The sequence below is a fragment of the Homo sapiens genome, chromosome 9 (assembly GCF_000001405.40).
Source record: "Homo sapiens chromosome 9, GRCh38.p14 Primary Assembly".
Taxonomy (NCBI): domain Eukaryota; kingdom Metazoa; phylum Chordata; class Mammalia; order Primates; family Hominidae; genus Homo; species Homo sapiens.
Genome location: NC_000009.12, coordinates 110,014,623 through 110,035,455, shown reverse-complemented (window position 1 = coordinate 110,035,455; position 20,833 = coordinate 110,014,623). Strand labels below are relative to the sequence as shown.

Genomic DNA, 20,833 nt, shown 5'->3' with positions numbered 1-20,833 from the left:
TCTGTATTATACGCATAATATACGTATATAATATGTATTATACATATTATATACGTATATGTATTATACATATAATATATGTATATAATATGTATTATACATATAATATATATAATATGTATTATACATATAATACATATGTATGTAATATGTATTATACATATGTACAATATGTATATTATATATTATATATGTGTGTATATAATATAATTATATATTATATTATATATATTTTTTATATATATACACACACACACACATGCACACATATATATTTAGTACATTGGGTAAAGTATTTCTTAAATTTTAGGCAGAAAAAAAAGCACTTGTAAAACACTAAACATACTAGATTTTCCCGTAAGTTGATTCCAAGAACTTAGTATTTCATATGAAAGGATCACATTGACCCTTAAATTTCTAACATTTACCATGGGCGAATTCAATTGACCTTTCATTTTTCTCTCCCATTAGCTATGGCATTCTTTTCCCTTTAACTCCGTAATCATAAACACAGCTATTTTCAGACCTGTCACTTATACAAAGAATATATGGCAGCCGGGCGTGGTGGCTCACACCTGTAATCCCAGCACTTTGGGAGGCGGAGGAGGGCAGTTCACGAGGTCAGGAGTTTGAGACCAGACTGGCCAACATGGTGAAACCCCGTCTCTACTAAAAATACAAAAATTAGCCAGGCATGGTGGTGGGCACCTGTAATCCCAGCTATTCAGGAGGCTGAGGCAGGAGAATCGCTTGAGCCTGGGAAGCAGAGGTTGCAGTGAGCTGAGATTGCACCACTGCACTCCAGCCTGGGCAACGAAACTGTGTCTCAAAAAAAAAAAAAAAAAAAAAAAGGGGAATATATGGCTTGATAGTTATTGGATTCTCTCCATAGGGAAAGCATACGCTATGGTCTTTTCTATGCTGTGGATGTGAATTCCAAGTGAATGGCTAGTTGTAAAGTTAACTGGCTCTGCATTCCCCAAGAAACATGCAAAAGAGGCTGGGTGTGGTGGTTCACGCCTGTAATCCCAGAACTTTGGGAGGCCGAGGCGAGCAGGTCACCTGAGGTCGGGAGTTTGAGGCCAGCCTGAACAACATGGAGAAACCCTGTCTCTACTAAAAATACAAAATTAGCCGGGCGTGGTGGCACATGCCTGTAAATCCCAGCTACTTAGGAGACTGAGGCAGGAGAATTGCTTGAGCCCAGGAGGCAGAGGTTGTGGTGAGCCAAGATCACGCCGTTGCACTCCAGCCTGGGCAACAGGAGTGAAACTCCATCTCAAAAAAACAATAGAAAAAAAGGAAAGAAAGAAACCTGCAGAAGAGCACTTAGGGATCACAGGCAAGAGGTGCCCTGGCACTGTGGTTAGGGGACTATGCTAACCACATGAAGAATGCTAGGAATGAAGGCAGAATCCTCATTCTTCCACTGATTCTGAGCAGGACCTTCCATAGGTTACTTTATCTCCCTGTGCCTCAGATTCCTAGTCTTTAAAATAAGAACAAGTGTATAGTATCTATATCATGAGTTCATGGAACTCATTGGATAAGTTCATGCTTATAAAGGCCACAGAATACACCTTTTAGATTCTCAATTAGTATTAGCTATGTGTTATTTGTATTCATCTGTGCCAGTCCACTGGCTCATAGCCTGTCCAAAAAACTACAGTGGTCTTAGATCAGGTCCATTCTTGACTAATTCTTGCTCCCAGGATCAAAACTATTTTCCTGTCATTACATTTTAATTAAAATATTTTTTGATTCTAAAAGAAATATTTACTCATTACACAGAAAGCAATAAACTGTGGGCTCTGAAATATGACAAACCTGGAATTGAATTCTGACTCTGCTCTTCCAGAATTTGTGACCTTATAAAGTCTTTACCTTCTCAAAGTGTTGATTTCTTCATCTGCACAATGGGACAAAAAATGGTACCTATCTCATGGTGTCATTTTGAGTGTTAAAGAGAGAAATGCAGGTAAAGTGTTTAACACAGTGCCTAGCCCACAGTAAACACTGGGAAAAAGAAAGGGAGTGAAGGGAGAGAAGGAAAGAGAGGAAAAGAAAGTAGGAAGAAGTCAATGACTGTTATAGGATTGAAGGTTTAGTAAAAGCCACACAAAGGAGAAAGGTTTGGAAAATGCTTAGACACAGAATGCATATTTTTATTTAAAAGAGAAAAAGATTTGCTGTGTCTTTTGCAATACCATTTCTCTTAAAAGGGATTTTCCTGTGTCACTCATGGGATACACTTAATATAAACTTAGAAACTTTTTCATATTTGGGATTTGTTTATATTTTCTTTGCAAGAACCAACTCAAACACACTAAAAATAATAAAAAGAATAATTCTTAGTGGATGAATGTTTGTCTATTTCTCAACTTAAATAAGGTTTTGTCTCCAAAATTTCAAAGTGACTTATTCACATTAATTTGAAAAGTCAGACCAAAAATTTGACCCTGCTTAAATATGGTATGCTACATATAATACGACATTCAATAAATTTATTTATTTATAATAGAAATAGGGTCTCCTTCTGTCACCCAGGCTACAGTGCAGTGGTAGGATTGTGGCTTACTGCAGCCTCATCCTCCCAGGCTCAAGTGATTCTCCCACCTGTCTCCTGAGTAGCTGAGACGACATGCGCACACCACACCTGGCTAGTTTGTTTGTTTTTTTATTTTTTTATTTTTTTTGTTTTTTTATTTTTTATTTTATTTATTTATTTATTTATTTATTTATTTATTTATTTATTTATTTATTTTGAGACAGAATCTCACTCTGTCACCCAGGCTGGAGTGCAGTGGCACAATCTCAGCTCACTGCAGCCGCCTCCTCCTGGGGTCAAGCGATTCTTCTGCCTCAGCCTCCCGAGTGGCTGGGACTACAGGCACGCGCCACCATGCCCAGCTAATTTTTGTATTTTTAGTAGAGATGGGGTTTCACCATATTGGCCAGGATAGTCTCAAACTCCTGACCTCGTGATCTGCCCGCCTCAGCCTCCCAAAGTGCTGGGATTACAGGCGTAAGCCACCGCACCCGGCGGTTTTTTTTCTTTAAGTAGAGATGATGTCTGGCCAAGTTGCCCAGGCTGGTCTCAAACTCCTGAGTTCAAGCAATCCTCCTGCCTCAGCCTCCCAAAGTGCTACAATCATAGGTGTAAGCCACCATGCTTGGCCAATAAGTTGATTTTTTTTAGTCCAAAAGTTAACCAAGGCTGTGTTATTTGTGGCATAACACAGACATGGAGACATTTTAGAAAAAACTAAAAGAAGAAACTGTCTTAAGCTACAGTATGATGGGTGCAGTAGTCTCTTAACTAATATTGCAGGACACCTGTGTGCTTAATTTCTCCAGATTCAAGGAAAGCTCTACTTTTTTTTTTTTTTTTTTTTCCCCGTAAGCTAAGCTTTGCTTATTTACTGAGAAGGCTGTTCGGTTTTATCATACTCATGAATCACTGCAGGAGAATGATAATGAGAAATGTAATCAGAATGCTGACAGGATGAAGACTCATGGGCCAGCCTGAAGAACAACTCATTCTCAAGGATGAAAATCAAATCTTATCCCACTAGGTAAACTCCAGCTTTGCATTGGAAGAATGAACGCAAACAGAACTACATAAAAGCCTCCATATTGATCAGGACTGTGAGGCAAGGAAGACCTCCTTAGCATGTCTACATACCAGCATCATCTCATTATTCTCCAAGGTGAAGCACTGTGACAAAGTCATGAAGATCTAGTGCTGTCTGGCTTAGACCTAGGCTCCAGCACTCCTTGTCTGTGTGACCTTAGACAAGTTACTTAATCTCTCTGCACCTTGTTTTCTCTGTAAACTGGAGATATCCTAGTACCCACCTCATAGGGTTGTGGTAAGAATTAAATAATAGAATACCCTAAACACCCAGAGCACTACCTGACACATGGGAAGTTCTCAATATATGTTAGCTATTATCTCATTATTCATTTTATTAAACCGAATTTCACTAGAAAATGCATACTGTTGGAGATCAAAACTCACACTCTGGTGGGGTGCAGTGGCTCACACCTGTAATCCCAGCACATTGGGAAGCTGAGGTGGGCGGATCAGTTGAGGTCAGGAGTTCGAGACCAGCCTGGCCAACATGGTGAAACCCTGTCTCTACTAAAAATACAAAAATTAGCCAGGCCTGGTGGCGCACACCTGTAATCCCAGCTACCAGGGAGGCTAGAGGCTAAGGCACAAGAAATACTTGAACCTGGGAGGTGGAGGTTGCAGTGAGCCAAGATGGCGCCACTGCACTCCAGCCTGGGCAACAAGGTGAGACCCTGTCTCAAAAAACAATAACAGAAACAATAATAAACCTCACAATCTGTGAGCAGATGGAAAATATGATGACAAATCCAATACCCTACCCTCTAGCCCAGATCCCTTTGGGAGACGGAGTGGGAACTGCAGCTGCTGGTACCTTTTTCTTTTCAGAAACAGACATAAAAATTCTGAGATAAAATAAATGTCACATCTCCACTGACTAATTTCTGAGGAAGAAGTAGTTGTTGCAATGATAGTAAGCATAAGTGACCTCGAAACAGACCAGCTCGTGGTATGCAGACCTACCAGTGGCCTGCTCTGCTAGGCAATGAATCAAGCATCTTGTATGAGCATGTCATCTTTTTACATACAATTTACATGATGTCATGATTTTTACCAAGTGTATTTTTTACTACTAAGTTTTCACTACAATAAAAAGGGCAAGGGGGCAGGCCACTAGAGAATGGGTAGGAGAAAGAGATGGGAAAGGCATTGGATAATTTATCGAGATAGGAGCACTAGATGCTCACTTCAACAATCTTCAGTATTCATATGATACAGAAAGATCATTCTTCCCATTGTTAGGGCTCAGAAACCTATATCCCCAAATATGATGCTTTGATATTCTGAACCTGAAGAAGGCTCAAGGTCTCTCTGACCTCCCCTCACTCCTGTCTCTCAATCTTCTGTCTCTCCCCTACGCACAGGATGAAATGGTTCTGTGAAGTTCCCTTATCTACCTAAAATCTTACCCTCCAGAGAAGAAAACAATTACTTCTGGTCTCTTCCTTGAGTTGCCATTAGCAACTCATATAGCAGGAAGAAAGACTGAATGAAGTCTGTCAACACATCTGAACAGACTTCTGTCACAAATTGTTGTCTGTTCTGTGGGCCCAACAGACTTTGTCCCAGGTCACTGTTGGTTCTTCAAGTAAAAATCATTTACTGCCCTTCCCCCCACTTCCTATCTCCACACTTCCTATCTCCGTTTCCTCTAAGAAGAAGGGTATATAACCATCTGTACCCCATTGTGTGTAATTTTCTCTCTTTGCACATTAGTAAACTTCTATGCCATTTCTCCCGTTAATCTGTCTAGTGTCAATTGATTTTTCAACGAAATTTCAGAGGGCAAAGGGAAAGTTTTCCCTTGGCCCCTACTCTATGAATCCAACAACTTTTCCTGATAACTACAATCTTGATTTATGAGACCTCTCTGATACCTGACCAGTTGCAGAAGGACAAGGCTTATCGTAAGTGGCCACATGAGTTCTACCCAGGATTTCAGAAATAATTTGCAATCATTCCAAACCCTCAGGGACATGAATGGTAATTTATTCAGACATTAACTGGAGAGACAAACTGGTTCCCTGCCTAAATGGGAACCAGGTTGGCTACCTTCCAGTCGCACTAAAGACCAATAGTTTCTGTCACTGGGTTCTGTGTTTGGTTTGCGTGGCTTGGTTCTTTCACAAGTCATAGACTTTGGTACTTGCAAATGAGCCTTGTTGCAAAACTAGCTTGATTGGGACAGATTATTCTTAAGAAATGAGGCTTATCTGCAGACAGGCTCTGACATACTGAACAGCAACACGTGACAGTTTCTAGAGCTTTAGCATCATTAGTCATTCTCACTGCTGGAATGTTCAAAATGTGCATAGAAGGAAACAGACAGATGTCCTCAGGAAGCATTTGTGAATGTGTCAGAACTTTTGCTGGGAATATCCATGCCCATGTCATGTATTTTAGGGTGACCACTCAGAGATAGGGGATTTTACCAAGTAGGAGTTGATAAAAGCACAAGAGTATTTCATCAACATTTTAAAAATTGGGATGATGAAGCTATCTGCAGAAAATGAAATTAGGCTAACACTGATATCCCAACTAAAAAGAAGATCCTAGAATAAGGCTTCCAAAAAGTCATGATATACCCAGATTGAGGTAAAGGGTTTTTGTTGTTGCTGTTGTTCAAAAGAAAAAACAATCAAACAAACAAATAGAGGGTAGTGTTTCTCATAGTTTCACTTCATAGAGAAACCAATGAGGTACAAATCTTGGCATGGATCAGATTTGGATTCCTAGCAAAGAAGCATATCAAGGGATGTCCCTTGATAGGTTATCAGCATATTACAAGTCCTTAAAATATACATCTGTCTGGTTTAAAGCTTAATAAAATACATTGTCATGTTTAAAATGAAAAAAGTCTTTTTTTTTTTTTTTCAAAAAGAACCCAAAACCACAAATAATCCCAAAGGACAATAATCAAAACACATTACGCGGTTCCCTTCATTTCCTTTGCAACACTCCTCTTGCCTAGGGCCACTGGACTTGGCAAATAAAAATACAGAACACCCAGTAAAATCTGAATTTTAGGTAAACAACAAATAATTTTTTAATATAAGTATGTCCCATGCAATTTAATTCAAATCGAACTGGACATCTAATATTTTATCTGGCTAAGCTACCCTTGCCCTGTCATTGGAGCTCCCCTGCTTTAGCTAATTAAAAAAAAATAAACCTGCACTTATTAAAACCCAAACAGAGAGGCTACAAAGTGTCCTTCCATCTGGGTTCAAAGCTTGGCTCCACCACACACTCACTTTGAGATCTTGGGTAAGTTACTTTACTGTGCCACAGCCACCACATCTGTAGAATGGGATTAATAACAGTTTCTCCTTAGCAGAGTCATCTGGAGGATTACACGAGATGGTGTATGTGTAGCACAGTACTCAGCTCAAAGCAAACGTTCAACCCATGTTAGCTATTATTGTTGGCAAGAGAACACAGCGAAGAAATAAAACGGCAAAGAAGAAGGTACCTGAGATTATTCACTTGCCACGAATATTCCTTATCTACACATAGATTATTGAAAGCTGTCAATGGTTGTGACTTCATTTCTTTCACATTTATTTTATTTGACAAATAGGGAGTAGCACACAGGAACAATAAATAACCATTAATAATATAGTTTATTACAGTTTACAACAGAGCTCTTCATATTCATTTTAAAGAAAATTCAAGACAATGATTCTCAAAGACATGTATTATAAAAACTGACCCATATAGTACCGATATGCCTCCTACTCACCAATGCCAAACCCCCTCTGAGATCCACTACCCTGAATAGTTTCAAGGATTTTTAAAAAATCTTCGAAAATATTTCCTTTGGCAAGGAACCAAATTTAGAGCGATCTTTATGTATATACACAATGTAGAAAGGTTTTCTGTCCCAAATGTCTCTTTTTTGTCCAGAGTCCCTGCACAAAACAATCCTTTCAATGTCGTCATCATCAAATACAAAGGGCAACCGGCTGGACACCACTGGCAACAAAAGGCCTTCAGCAGAATGTTTTTTTAAAAGCAAAGGCCAAAGAAAGCTGTAACCTGTGGCCTCTATTCACCACCGGAAGAGTCTAAATGCTTTTCCTCTTTTGTAATAGAGAACATCTGCTCTTCTAGGAGGATAATCTGTCTTCCAACAAGTTTTACGTGTAGAGAAGCAACATCCTTTTTTAAATGTGGCTTTCCCATGTCCTTGAATAGAAATGTACCCTTTTCAAACGGTTTTACAGCCAGAATCTCTAGTTTGCCTAAGGGCTACCAACCTTGTTTCTTGTTCAAGCATAAATGAGAAATATTGAACATGTAAATAAGAATACCAGACTTCATTCTGAGGAAAATTCTGCTGTGCTAAAATTTTTTGTATTCTTTTTTGCAAACACTTAGTTTTTAGTCTTAGTATATATGGACAAGAGGGCAAGATAAAGAGAGCATCTACGATTTAGTTGGTGTATTTGATGGAAATGACAGCCAAATCACAAAATTTTTATCCTAGAGATACTTCTTTAACATGGATTACTTGATGTCATTTTATCCAGTCGTTGGATAAACAAAATTCAAGAAAATGATGCACAGCCAAGCAGGTGTGATTTGGGACTTGCAGCAAGGCACCAGCTGGATAAGGCCAAGACATTTCCAGTATGAGGGTCCTGGACAGTTCACGCCACAGAAGAAAGGAACTTTTGTAACCAGCAATATCTTTAAAAATCTAGCTTGTAGCAGCTTCCTACTTTATTTCTGAGGGGTAGCCATCTTACTGGCTTTTCTGTTTTTGTTTTTGTTTTTGAGACTGCATCTCGCTCTATTACCCAGGCTGGAGTGCAGTGGCGCGATCTCGGCTCACTGCAACCTCTACCTCCTGGGTTCAAGCGATTCTCGTGCCTCAGCCTCCAGAGTGGCTGAGATTACAGGTGTGTGCCACCACACCCAGCTAATTTTTGTATTTTTAGTAGAGACGGGGTTTCACCATTTGGCAAGGCTGGTCTTGAATTCCTGACCTCAAGTGATCCACCTGCCTTGGCCTCCCAAAGTGCTGGGATTACAGTAGTGAGCCACCACGCCTGGCCTTACTGGCTTTTTACTATTAACATAATGTATTAAAAATCCCTTTGAGAAGGCAATTAAATAGTAATACATTTTAGGTGTAAAATGCAACATTTAGGTGGTTGACAGGAGCTGGAGTAGGAGAGAATGGGGGGCTGGTATTTAATGGGTAGAGAGTTTTGGTTGAAGAAGATGTTGAAAAAGTTCTGGAGAAGGATGGATGACGATGATGGTTACAGAACACTTTGAATGTACCTAACGCCACAGACGGGTACCCTTTAAAAGTGCTTAAAATGGTAAATGTTATATCTGTTTTACCACAATAAAAAATAGCATTGATTAGGCTAATAAAAAAATTAAAGAAAAAAGGCTAAGATGTGAAGGGAAAATAGAAAAGAGAGATAATCGCTGGGTGTGATGGCTTACACCTGTAATCTCACACTTTGGGAGGCTGAGGAACGAGGATCACTTGAGCACAGGAGTTTAAGATTGGCCTGGGCAACATAGGGAGTCCTCCTTCTCTACAAAAAATAAAAATTTAGCCAAGTGTGGTGCTGCACGCCTATAGTCCCAGCTACACAGGAGGCTAAGGTAGGAGGATTGCTTGGGCCTGGGAGGTTGAGGCTGCAGTAAGCCATGATCACACTGTGCTCCAGCCTGGGTGACATAGCGAGACCCTGTCTAAAAGAAAGAAAGAAATAAATAAAAGAGTGAGAGAAAGAAAAGAAATAGAAAGAAGAGAGATTGATGCAACCCCTGCAGAGGGACGTAGTGGTGGAGAGGGCAGTGATCTTAAAGGGGAAGTGTGAGTTGAGTGCACCCTCCTGCCACAGTCAAGAAGAGGGTCCCTCACTCAGAAAACACTGACTGGGCAGCTGCAATGAGAGAGTGCTTCAATTTAATAATTGAACAAACTATGGCAAAAAAGGAAATCAAGCCATTAAAAATTAACTGCATACAAATAGCCAATAAGCACATGAAAATAACTCAGTGTCGTTAGCCACCAGGAGAATGCAAACCAAAACCACAATGACATACGACTCCACACCCACTAGGATGGTTATAATCAAAAGATGGACAGTAGTAAGTGTTGGCTAGGATGTAGAAAACTTGGAAGCCTCATTCATTGTTGGTGAGGTGTAAAGTGGTGTAGATGCTTTGGAAAAGAGTCTGACAGCTTTTTAAAAAGTTAAACCCAGATTTACCATATGACCCAGCAATTCTACTCCTAGGTACAATCCCAAGACAAAGGAAGACCTACGTCCACACAAAGGCTTACATGTGACTATCCAAAGCAGCAACTATTCATAGCAAGAATACTTACTGCCAGAAGGTAGAAACAACCTCAAAATCCATCAACTTGTGAAGGAACAAAAAAAAAAAAAGCCTTTCGGGCGGAACCTCCATCTTCCAGTAATTCGCCAAAATGACGAACACAAAGGGAAAGAGGAGAGGCTCCCGACATATGTTCTCTAGGCCTTTTAGAAAACATGGAGTTGTTCCTTTGGCCACGTATATGCGAATCTATAAGAAAGGTGATATTGTAGACATCAAGGGAATGGGTACTGTTCAAAAAGGAATGCCCCACAAGTGTTACCATGGCAAAACTGGAAGAGTCTACAATGTTACCCAGCATGCTGTTGGTATTGTAAACAAACAAGTTAAGGGCAAGATTCTTGCCAAGAGAATTAATGTGCATATTGAGCACATTAAGCACTCTGAGCCGAGATAGCTTCCTGAAATGTGTGAAGGAAAATGATCAGAAAAAGAAAGAAGCCAAAGAGAAAGGTACCTGGGTTCAACTGAAGTGCCAGCCTGCTCCACCCAGAGAAGCACACTTTGTGAGAACCAATGGGAAGGAGCCTGAACTGCTGGAACCTATTCCCTATGAATTCATGGCATAATAGGTGTTTAAAAAATAAATAAATAAAAGACCTCTGGGCTGTTAAAAAAAAAAAACAAAAAACCCAAGACACTGGCATATCTTTTTTTTTTTTTAAGACAGGGTCATACTCTGTCATCACCCAGGATAGAGTGCAGTGACACAATCACAGCTCACTGCACTCTCTACCTCCTAGACTCAGGTGAGCCTCCCACCTCAGCCTCCCATGTAGCTGGGACTACAGATGCATGCCACCACATCCAGCTAATTTTTGTATTTTTTGTAGATACACAGTTTCACCATGTTGTCCAGGCTGGTCTCCAACTCCTGGGCTCTAGTGATCTACCCACTTTGGCCTTCCAAAGTGCTGGGATCACAGGCGTAAGCCACCATGCCCAGCCTGGCATATCAATTAAATGAAATATTATTCAGCATTAAAAAGAGTGAAAGGGATAGTGATTGAGGCTACAATGTGGATAAACCTCAAAAAAAAAAAATCATCATCATCCTAAGCCAGATACAAAACACTGCATGTTGTATGACTCCATTTATATGAAATGTCCAGAACAGGCAAATTTATAGAAACAGAAAGGAATGAGTGGTTGTTTGGGGATGGGGTAGAATGGAGATTAACTATAGGAGGGCATGAGGGATCTTATTGGAATGATGGAAATTATTTAAAACTGTGTGTGTTCTAAAACTGGATTGTGTGATGGTTAGTAAATTTATGAAACATTATTGAATCATATACCTACCTGGGGGAACCATATGGCATGCAAATTTTATCCTTAATAAAGTTGTGTTATTTAAAAAAAGAACTACAATTTAGAGCCTCTAACAAGTAAAAAATGAAACAGAAAAATGACCCTTACGGAAATGATATTGTAGCAAGGGCAACTGGATATTATGCAATGAAAATTATGGTTATTTTTATTTTTATTTTATTTTTTGTTTTATCACAGCTCACTGCAGCCTCAATCTCCCTGGGCTCAAGCGATCTTCCCATCTCTTGCCTCCCAAGTAGCCAGAACTACAGGCACATGCTACCACACTCAGCTAATTTTTTTGTATTTCGTAGAGACTGGGTTTTGTCATGTTGCTCAGGCTGGTCTCGAACTCCTGGTCTCAAGCGATCCACCCACCTTGGCCTCCCAAAGTGCTGGGATTACAGGTGTGAGCCACCACACCTGCCCGACATCTATGGTTATTGATGTGAGTGGCTATGAAGGAGAGCTGTTAGGTCCTATGAGAATGTGAAACAAGCAATGCTTGTTAGAAAGTGCCACTGGAGCTGGGTGCTGTGGCTCACGCCTGTAATCCCAGCACTTTGTGAGGCCGAGGCGGGTGGATCATTTGAGGTGGTGAGTTCAAGACAAGCCTGACCAACATGGAGAAACCCCGTCTCTACTAAAAATACAAAATTATCCGGGCGTGGTGGCACAGGCCTGTTAATCCCATCTACTCAGGAGGCTTAGCAGGAGAATTGCTTGAACCCAGGAGGTAGAGGTTGTGGTGAGCTGAGATGGCGTCATTGCACTCCAGCCTGGGTGACAAGAGCGAAACTCCATCTCAAAAAAAAAAAAAAAAAAAAAAAAAAGAAACCACAATGAGATACCATCTCACACCAGTTAGAATGGGGATCATTAAAAAGTCAGGAAAAAACAGGTGCTGGAGAGGATGTGGAGAAATAGGAACACTTTTACACTGTTGGTGGGACTGTAAACTAGTTCAACCATTGTGGAAGTCAGTGTGGCGATTCCTCAGGGATCTAGAACTAGAAATACCATTTGACCCAGCCATCCCATTACTGGGTATATACCCAAAGGATTATAAATCATGCTGCTATAAAGACACATGCACACGTATGTTTATTGTGGCACTATTCACAATAGCAAAGACTTGGAACCAACCCAAATGTCCAACAACGATAGGCTGGATTAAGAAAATGTGGCACATATACACCATGGAATACTATGCAGCCATAAAAAATGAAGAGTTCATGTCCTTTGTAGGGACATGGATGAAACTGGAAACCATCATTCTCAGCAAACTATTGCAAGGACAAAAAACCAAACACCACATGTTCTCACTCATAGGTGGGAACTGAACAATGAGAACACATGGACACAGGAAGGGGAACATCACACTCCGGGGACTGTTGTGGGGTGGGGGGAGAGGGGAGGGATAGCATTAGGAGATACACCTAATGCTAAATGACAAGTTAATGTGTGCAGCACACAAACATGGCACATGTATACATAAGTAACAAACCTGCACATTGTGCACATGTACCCTAAAACTTAAAGTATAATAATAATAAAATAAAATAAAATAAAAATAAAGAAAAAAAAAGAAAAGAATGTGCCACTGGAGGAGGGAATATTTGAGCCAAAGATGTGAATATAAAGAGAGAGGGAGAGCAGGAAGATCAAGGGAGAAGTGAATGAAAGCCAGGGGCTTTTAAAAAACACAGTGCCTGCAAGAGTTGGTCTTTGTTCCAGGAGCCATGGGAAGGCCAGCAGGGCCTTAGCAGAGGGATATTATCAGCTTGATCTTTTCATTTATTTTTTTAGAGATGGAGTCTCAGTATGTTGCCCAGGCTAGGGTTGAAATCCTGGGCTCAAGCAATCTTCCCACCACCGTGCAAAGCTCAACTCAGCTTTTTAAAAAGAAAGCTACAGTATCCAGGCTACAAGTAGACCGGATAAAGAGGGCAAGAATGGGTACAGAGAGAGACACAGTGAAAGACAATGCTAAAAATGAAACTGAAGTTAAGAGTAAGAAAGTCTAGAAGGCAGGGGAAGCCTGAGGCTTATTCAGTGTTGAAATGGGAAGTAATCAAAGGGCACTGAATAGGGAAGTATCCAAATCCTGCCTCAGATTGGTTGGACAACTGGAGAGCCAAGAGCAATAGTAGGGCTCACATTGCCACCCCCAGACTGCATTAGTGGTGTGCTAAGACAAGATTTTCTGAAACTAATCATGAAAGTTACTTGGAGCACTTATTAAAAATGCTAATTCTCAAGCCCAGGTCTTCTGAATCTGAATTCTGAAAGATGTCTGGCAAGCTGTGTTATTGTTGTTTTCTACATTGCTGCAGGTGATTCTCAGGGTCAGGCATTTCAAGAAATACTGATCCATACCTGTTTTTTTTTTTTTTTAAATTCAATGTCTGGACAAGCAACAAAACAGAATAGGATATAAAATAGAAGCTATTCTGAGATACAGCTACCCTTTTCTTCCAGTGAAGGATGATAAATATAGGCTGAAAAAAGTTAGTGGTTCTCCCAAAACAAGAACAGGTAAAAAACAATTTATAAGGGTAAGTAGAGTAAAATAAGAAAATTATGTGGATCTTCGTAATATTGGTTTATCAGCCTCTATGGCATTTGCACTCAAGAAGCATAGGTGTGATTCTTGGCAGAATCTGAGTGCATTCATTTCCCAGGGTTGCCATAACAAACTACCACACACTTGGTGGCTTAAAACAACGGAAATTTATTTTCTCACAATTCTGGAGGCCAAAAGTTCCAATTCAAGGTGTCAGGAGGGCTGCACTCCTCTCCCTCCAAAGGCTCTAGAGAAGACTCCTTCCTTGCCTCTTCTAGCTACTGGTGGATCCACGTGTTTCTTGACTTGGGCTGCATAACTTCAACCTCTGCCTCAGTCCCCTTACATGGCCTTCTGTGTATATGAGTATCCTCTTTTGTCTCTTATAAGGACATGTGTCATTGGATTTAGGGCCCATCTGGTAAATCCAGGATGCTCTCATCTCAAGATTATTAGTATTATTTTCTGAGACAGAGTCTCACTCTGTCACCCAGGCTGGAGTGCAGTGGTGTGATCTCAGCTCACTGCAACATCTGCCTCCTGAATTCAAATGATTCTCGTGCTTCAGCCTCCGGAGTAGCTGGGATTACAGGCGTGTGCCACCATGCCTAATTTTTTTGTATTTTTAGTAGAGACAGGGTTTCACCATGTTGGCCAGGTTGGTCTTGAACTCCAGGCCTCAAGTGATCTACCCACCTCAGCCTCCCAGTGCTTGGATTACAGGCATGAGCCAACGTGCCCAGCCAAGATTGTTAATTGTATCTGCAAAGACTTTTTTTCCAAATAAGTCACATTCACAGGTTTATTAGTCCATTTTCACACTGCTGTAAAGAGTTACCTGAGACTGGGTAATTTATGAAGAAGAGAGGGTTTTTTTGTTTTTTGTTTTGAGATGGAGTCTCACTCTGGTCATGCAGGCTGGAGTGCAGTGGCGTGATCTCAGCTTACTGCAACCTCCACCTCCTGGGTTTAAGCAATTCTCTTTCCTCAGCCTCCCAAGTAACTGGGATTACAGGCATGCATCACCACGCCCGGGTAATTTTTATATTTTTAGTAGAGATGGGGTTTCATCATGTTGGCCAGGCTGGTCTTGAACTCCTGACCTCAGGTGATCCACCCACCTCGGCCTCCCACAGTGCTAGGATTACAGGCATTAGCCACCATGCTCAGCCAGAAGAGAGGTTTAATTGACTCACAGTTCCACAAGCTTAACAGGAAGCATGACTGGGAGGCCTCGGGAAACTTACAATCATGGCAAGGGAAATGGAAGGCAAAGAGAAAGCAAGCACCTTCAAAACATTGTATTCCTTTTTCAGAAAGAAAATTTATAAATACTAAAATAGACACCTTTATCACAAGAAGAGCAATATGGAAGAAACCCAACTATCTTTGTAATTTCTGCTGATATTTCCCTTGAAAAGTGTCAGTGTATCAGGTTTTATTAACAGAATATTTTGTTTTCTCAGGCAAAAGGCAGGAATAGCTGATATTGCAAGGATATATAAAGTAGCTATTAGAAGTAGGAATAGCTATAGCTAAATGTAAGAGGGGGAGTCTGTGCTTAATGAGCTCCAGGCAGTTATATACAGAGAGAAAAAAAATAATTCTTTTTATTTAATTTTAATTTTTTTATTATAGATTCAGGGGGTTCATGAACAGGCTTGATACAAGGTATATTACGTAATGCTGGGATTTGGACTTCTACTGAACCCATCACCCAAACAGTGAACATAGTATCCAATAGGTAGTTTTACAACCCTTTCTCCTTTCTCTATTGCCCCTTCTTTTAGAGTCCCCAGTCTCTACTGTTTCCATCTTTATGCCCATGTGTAGTAGTTCCCACCTATAAGGGAGAACATGCAGTATTTGATTTTCTGTTTCTGCATTAATTCTTGCAGGATAATGGCCTCCTTCTGCATCCATGTTGCTACAAAGGACATGATTTCATTATTTATATGACTATGTAGTATTCCATGGTGTATATATGCCACATTTTCTTTATCCAGTCTACCGCTGATGAACACTTAGGTTAATTTCATGATTTTCCTACTGTGAATAGTGCTACAGAAAACATGAGTGTGAGTGTCTTTTTGATAAGACGATTTATTTTCCTTTGGGTAGATATCCATTGCTGGGTCAAACAGTAGTTTTGTTCTTTGAGAAATCTCCTTACTGTTTTCCATAGGGGTTGAACTAATTTACATTGCTACCAACAGTGTATAACTGTTCCCTTTTCTCTGCATCCTCACCAACATCTGTTATTTTGCCTTTTTAATAATGGCCATTCTGACTGGTGTGAGATGGTATCTCTCTTTTTTTTTTTTTTTTTTTTTTGAGACAGAGTCTTGCTGTTTTGCCAGGCTGGAGTGCAGTGGCGCAGACTCGGCTCACGGCAATCTCTGCCTCCCTGGTTCAAGTGATTCTCCTGCCTCAGCCTCCCTAGTAGCTTTGGATTACAGGCACGCGCCATCACACCCGGCTAATTTTTGTATTTTTAGTAGAGTCGGCATTTCACATGTTGGCCAGGATGGTCTCGATCTCCTGACCTTGTGATCCACCCACCTTGGCCTCCCAAAGTGCTAGGATTACAGGTGTGAGCCACCATGCCCAGTCGTGAGATGGTATCTCATCGCGGTTTTAATTTGCATTTCTCTGATTAACGAAGTGGAGCAGAAAAAATAATACTTTCATTTAGATACAAAGACATCATGGTTATGTAAGGCAATGTGGGGTGGGAAACAACTTATACCCAAAGGAAAAAAGTCAATGACTGCTCCGTAATTGGGAATCCTAAAGGAGAAGATAGAAACAAGCATTTTCTGTAGTTATATCCACCTAGAAAATTCACAAATTCCTTAGTGAGAAGGAACTGGCATTAAGAGAAGAACTCTAGAATATTTGTAGGGGTTTATTGATGTGTTTAAATATATTTCTATTTTGCTGGCTGGGTGGAGAGGCTTACACCTGTAATCCCAGCACTTTGGGAGGCTGAGGCGGGCAGATCACCTGAGGCCAGGAGTTTCAGACCAGACTGGCCAACATGGTGAAACCCCATCTTTACTAAAAATACGAAAATTAGCCAGGCATGGTGGCACATGCCTATAATTCCAGCTACTTGGGAGGCTGAGGTGGGAGAATCCCTTCAACCTGGGAGGTGGAGGTTGCAGTGAGCCACGATCATGCCACACTGCACTCCAGCCTGGGTGACAGAGCAAGACTCTGCCTCAAAATGAATAAAGAAATAAATTTCTATTTTGCTCAACTATTTAAAGTGTATGGTATTTATTCCTCAGAATGAGTTCAGTTCTTATGGATGAAAAATCTTCCTGGGGTAGGGCAGGGGTAAAAGAAATCTTTTCTTGTGAGAAATTTTCAGGTATTCATTAAAAGAAAAAGAAACGGAGATCGAGAATGATGTCTAAACTAGAGGGACCCAAATACAACTTCAGTCAAGATCCTGGTACCATGGATGAGTAGCCTGGTTAAGTAGCAATCTTATCAAATGGGATTTGGACAAGACTTGCTTCTATTAGAATATGCCATTTGTGGCCTGGAGCGGTGACTCACGCCTGTAATCCCAGCACTTTGGGAGGCTGAGGCAGGCGGACCATGAGGTCAAGAGATGGAGACCAACCTGGCCAACATGGTGAAACCCCGTCTCTACTGAAAATACAAAAACTAGCCGGGCATTGTGTCCAGCACCTGTAGTCCCAGCTACTCGGGAGGCTGAGGCAGGATAATTGCTTGAACCCAGGAGGCGGATGTTGCAGTGAGCCAAGTCTGCGCTACTGCACTCCAGCCTGGCGACACAGCAAGACTCCGTCTTAAAAAAAAAAAAAAAAAGGAATATGCCGTTTGCTTTATAAAAGCAAACTCCAGTCTTTCTGACTACTTGAATGTCTGTCTGTACCACATCTGCAGCTACACTGGCAACATGCTGTCTTCTCTCCCACTAGCAACTCTTCTCAAAAACTAATTCTCCAGATGATAACAGATTTTGAGATAACAAATCTAAATCCAACAGGTTTTACTATTGGCACCCATTCCCCTTCGTCCAATGTGGTCATAGACTGAAACTTGTCAATCATTGCAATAATAGCCAATAAAACACCAACATGTCATTGCAATTTATATTATTGTCTTACAAATTCTGCTAAACGTAGTGATAGTTCTTTCAGCACTGGATAGTTACCACTTAGATTAGTTGACTTTTTGACTAATCAGGCTACTATCCTATCTTTCATTTAGCTTTACTATGGTAACATTTGCTTGCTTTCTCTACCATTTGTAACATAGACAACACAAGTTTAGCCTTCACATTACAAAAGAAAACTTGAATAAATCCATGCTGTATATTCTTTTGTACAACTTCTACTAATAGATCCAGGAGAGAAATATCTCCAGTTTGGCTCATGCCTGTAATCCCAGCACTTTGGGAGGCCAAGGCAGGCGGATCTCGAGGTCAGGAGATCGAGACCATCCTGGCTAACACGGTGAAACCCCGTCTCTACTAAAAATACAAAAAATTAGCCAGGCACGGTGGCTGGCGCCTGTAGTCCCAGCTACTCAGGAGGCTGAGGCAGGAGAATGGCATGAACCCGGGAGGCGGAGCTTGCAGTGAGCCGAGATCGCACCACTGCACTCCGGCCTGGGCAAAAGAGAGAGACTCCGTCTCAAAAAAAAAGAAATATCTCCAGTTACAGCTCTATATAAAATAAGACATTACTTCTTATTTTTCAAAGAAAAATTCATAAGTAGCATATATTCAAATTATAATCATTCAAGCAAGAATGTTAGAAAGCCCTCCCACCCCCATCCTTTGTTAACTAATATGTTAGCAGAGTTCTAAGAGAGGAAGATCATTCCTTTGTGTTTAATCCCGTAACAGAGGGGAAATGGTGGCACCTCTGATAACTTTTGCTACAGATTCTTTATTCTGGCCAGTGCTTACAAATTGATGCATTTAATTTGAACAGTGATAGTTAAGTGGATTTCTAGATGACTCATTTTGTAAACCTTTGGCCATTAGTGTTTCAGCTGGAGTGGGCCATGTGCTGCCTTCCTGCTGACATCAGTGGAAATCTTGAGCCAAGATCAAAGCTACTTTATGCCTCTCTGACCTTTCCTCACAATGCACAGTGGGGCCTGAATTCTCAGATCAGAATTTTCAGATTTGCTCCACTGTGCCCACTGGGGTTACCATTTACAAATAGCTTACGTGTAGATATTCACTGAAGACCCTACGACAGGCCCATTGGAAATCACATCTTAGATTCTGGTTTTCAAGCAGTTTCCTAATCCAGATCCCAAGTTTCAGACGAGGTCGGGCATATTCAGGGTGGTACGGCTGTAGACCAGATCCCAAATTTCAGAAAATCTTATGTACGGTTGCCTCCCTAAGACCTCAGTGAGTAGAGAGAGAACTCTAGCAAGGTGGATTGGTAGTGTTCATTTTGCCCCCAGAAAAACCTGCCATCGGCTGCCTTTACTCTAGAGATACACTTTGAGAATCAACCTGAAGAGAATCCCTTACCTTGATAGTCATGTCTGGGCCGGATGTTTCTGTGGCGTTCGAGGCTGACTCACCTTCCTTTAGCAGCACATTCTCCCACCCGACTCCTGAAAGAAAAAAAAGAAGTGCCATTTGAGCCAAGTCATTCAGCTGACATGGATACACAGTTGTTATTGCTCAGATTACAATCCCATGTGACTTGTAAAGGGAGCTGATGATGACCTATAGCTCTATACCTATCTTGCAGTTACTGGGCTAGGAAAACTTCCTTTCAGAAGTGTAGTCCTGGAGCACTTCTTTTGTTTTTACCTAATCTCCAATTTAGGATCCATTGTCTAAATCCTATATCTTATAGAGAGCTATTCCTAGCCCAGGGTGGAGAAGAGGCTGGGATGAACTCTTCGTCTTCTTCTTTTCATTTTTATTTATTTGTTTGTTTATTTATTTATTTATTGAGACCAAGTTGCACTCTTGTTGCCTAGGCTGGGGTGCAATGGCATGATCTCGGCTCACTGCAACCTCCGCCTCCTGCCTCAGCAATTCTCCTGCCTCAGCCTCCCAAGTAACTGGGATTATGGGATTACAGGCACCCGCCACCACACCTGACTAATTTTTGTATTTTTAGTAGAGATGGGGATTTCACCATGTTGCCCAGGCTGGTCTCGAACTCCTGACCTCCGGTGATCCACCCACCTTGGCCTCCCAGTGTTGGGATTACAGGTGTAAGCCACCCTTCTGTTCTTCTCCACGAACTCTTCTTCTTCTCCAGTTCAGGCCTCATATTGAGACTCATTTGGGGCTTTAAAGTGAATCCCAGAACACAGAAATACACACATCTAATTCAATACCCAATAGATATGACTCCAGATTTTTCTGTGTTCTCAATATATCTACTGGAAATAACTAAGAATGTGTCGTCACTTTTAAAATCTGCCCATGTTCTCTCTCCAAGTCTTTAGAAATGCTAATGTTTCTTTCTTCTAAAGCTACCCGATTGTCTCCAAGAGTGGACATCCGGCAAGACACAAGATTTTGTTTTTTCTAATATCAAAGAAAAGATCAGGGGCCAGTGTGGTGTTTTGAAATATCTTTAAACACAATATAGTAAAATTGTACTAATTCAGATGCAGTTATGTACGTGAATAGAGTTAAAATGATCTACATTGGTGAAAAGTTTGAAGAAATGGCAAGATATATGTGTGTGTGTGTATATATATATATATATATATATATATATATATATATATATATATACATTTTTTTTTTTTTTTTTTTTTTTTTGAGACAGAGGACAGAGTCTCGCTCTGTCGCCCAGGCTGGAATGCAGTGGTGCAATCTTGGCTCAGTGCAACCTCCACCTCCCAGGTTCAAGTGATTCTCTGGCCTCAGCCTCCCAAGTAGCTCAGATTACAGGTATGTGCCACCACACCCAGCTAAT

General features: G+C 40.9%; 1 protein-coding gene and 1 pseudogene across 12 annotated transcripts in view, besides 2 other annotated features; one reads left to right on the top strand and one right to left on the bottom strand.

The window, feature by feature from the left end:
• Window positions 1-20,833, bottom strand: part of PALM2AKAP2 (PALM2 and AKAP2 fusion) — a 531,726-nt gene that overhangs the window by 137,057 nt on the left and 373,836 nt on the right. For all 12 annotated transcript variants that reach the window (XM_047423410.1, XM_047423411.1, XM_047423414.1 and 9 more), the window contains one exon: window positions 19,417-19,502. In XM_047423410.1, the coding sequence (XP_047279366.1) occupies window positions 19,417-19,502 (86 nt within the window). The remainder of the gene's footprint in view (window positions 1-19,416; window positions 19,503-20,833) is intronic.
• Window positions 7,616-7,785: an enhancer, noted in NCBI's record as "experimental_104606 CRE fragment used in MPRA reporter constructs". NCBI's record gives its function as "activates a minimal promoter by MPRAs in K562 erythroleukemia cells, with activity observed for both the introgressed and non-introgressed 9:112790036 or rs7024673 variant alleles {active_cell/tissue: K562}" and the evidence as "EXISTENCE:reporter gene assay evidence [ECO:0000049][PMID:34662402]".
• Window position 7,700: a transcriptional cis regulatory region, noted in NCBI's record as "Neanderthal adaptively introgressed variant 9:112790036 (GRCh37/hg19 assembly coordinates) or rs7024673 in the experimental_104606 CRE". NCBI's record gives its function as "modulates activity of the experimental_104606 enhancer by MPRAs in K562 erythroleukemia cells {active_cell/tissue: K562}" and the evidence as "EXISTENCE:reporter gene assay evidence [ECO:0000049][PMID:34662402]".
• Window positions 10,058-10,615, top strand: RPL21P87 (ribosomal protein L21 pseudogene 87; annotated as a pseudogene).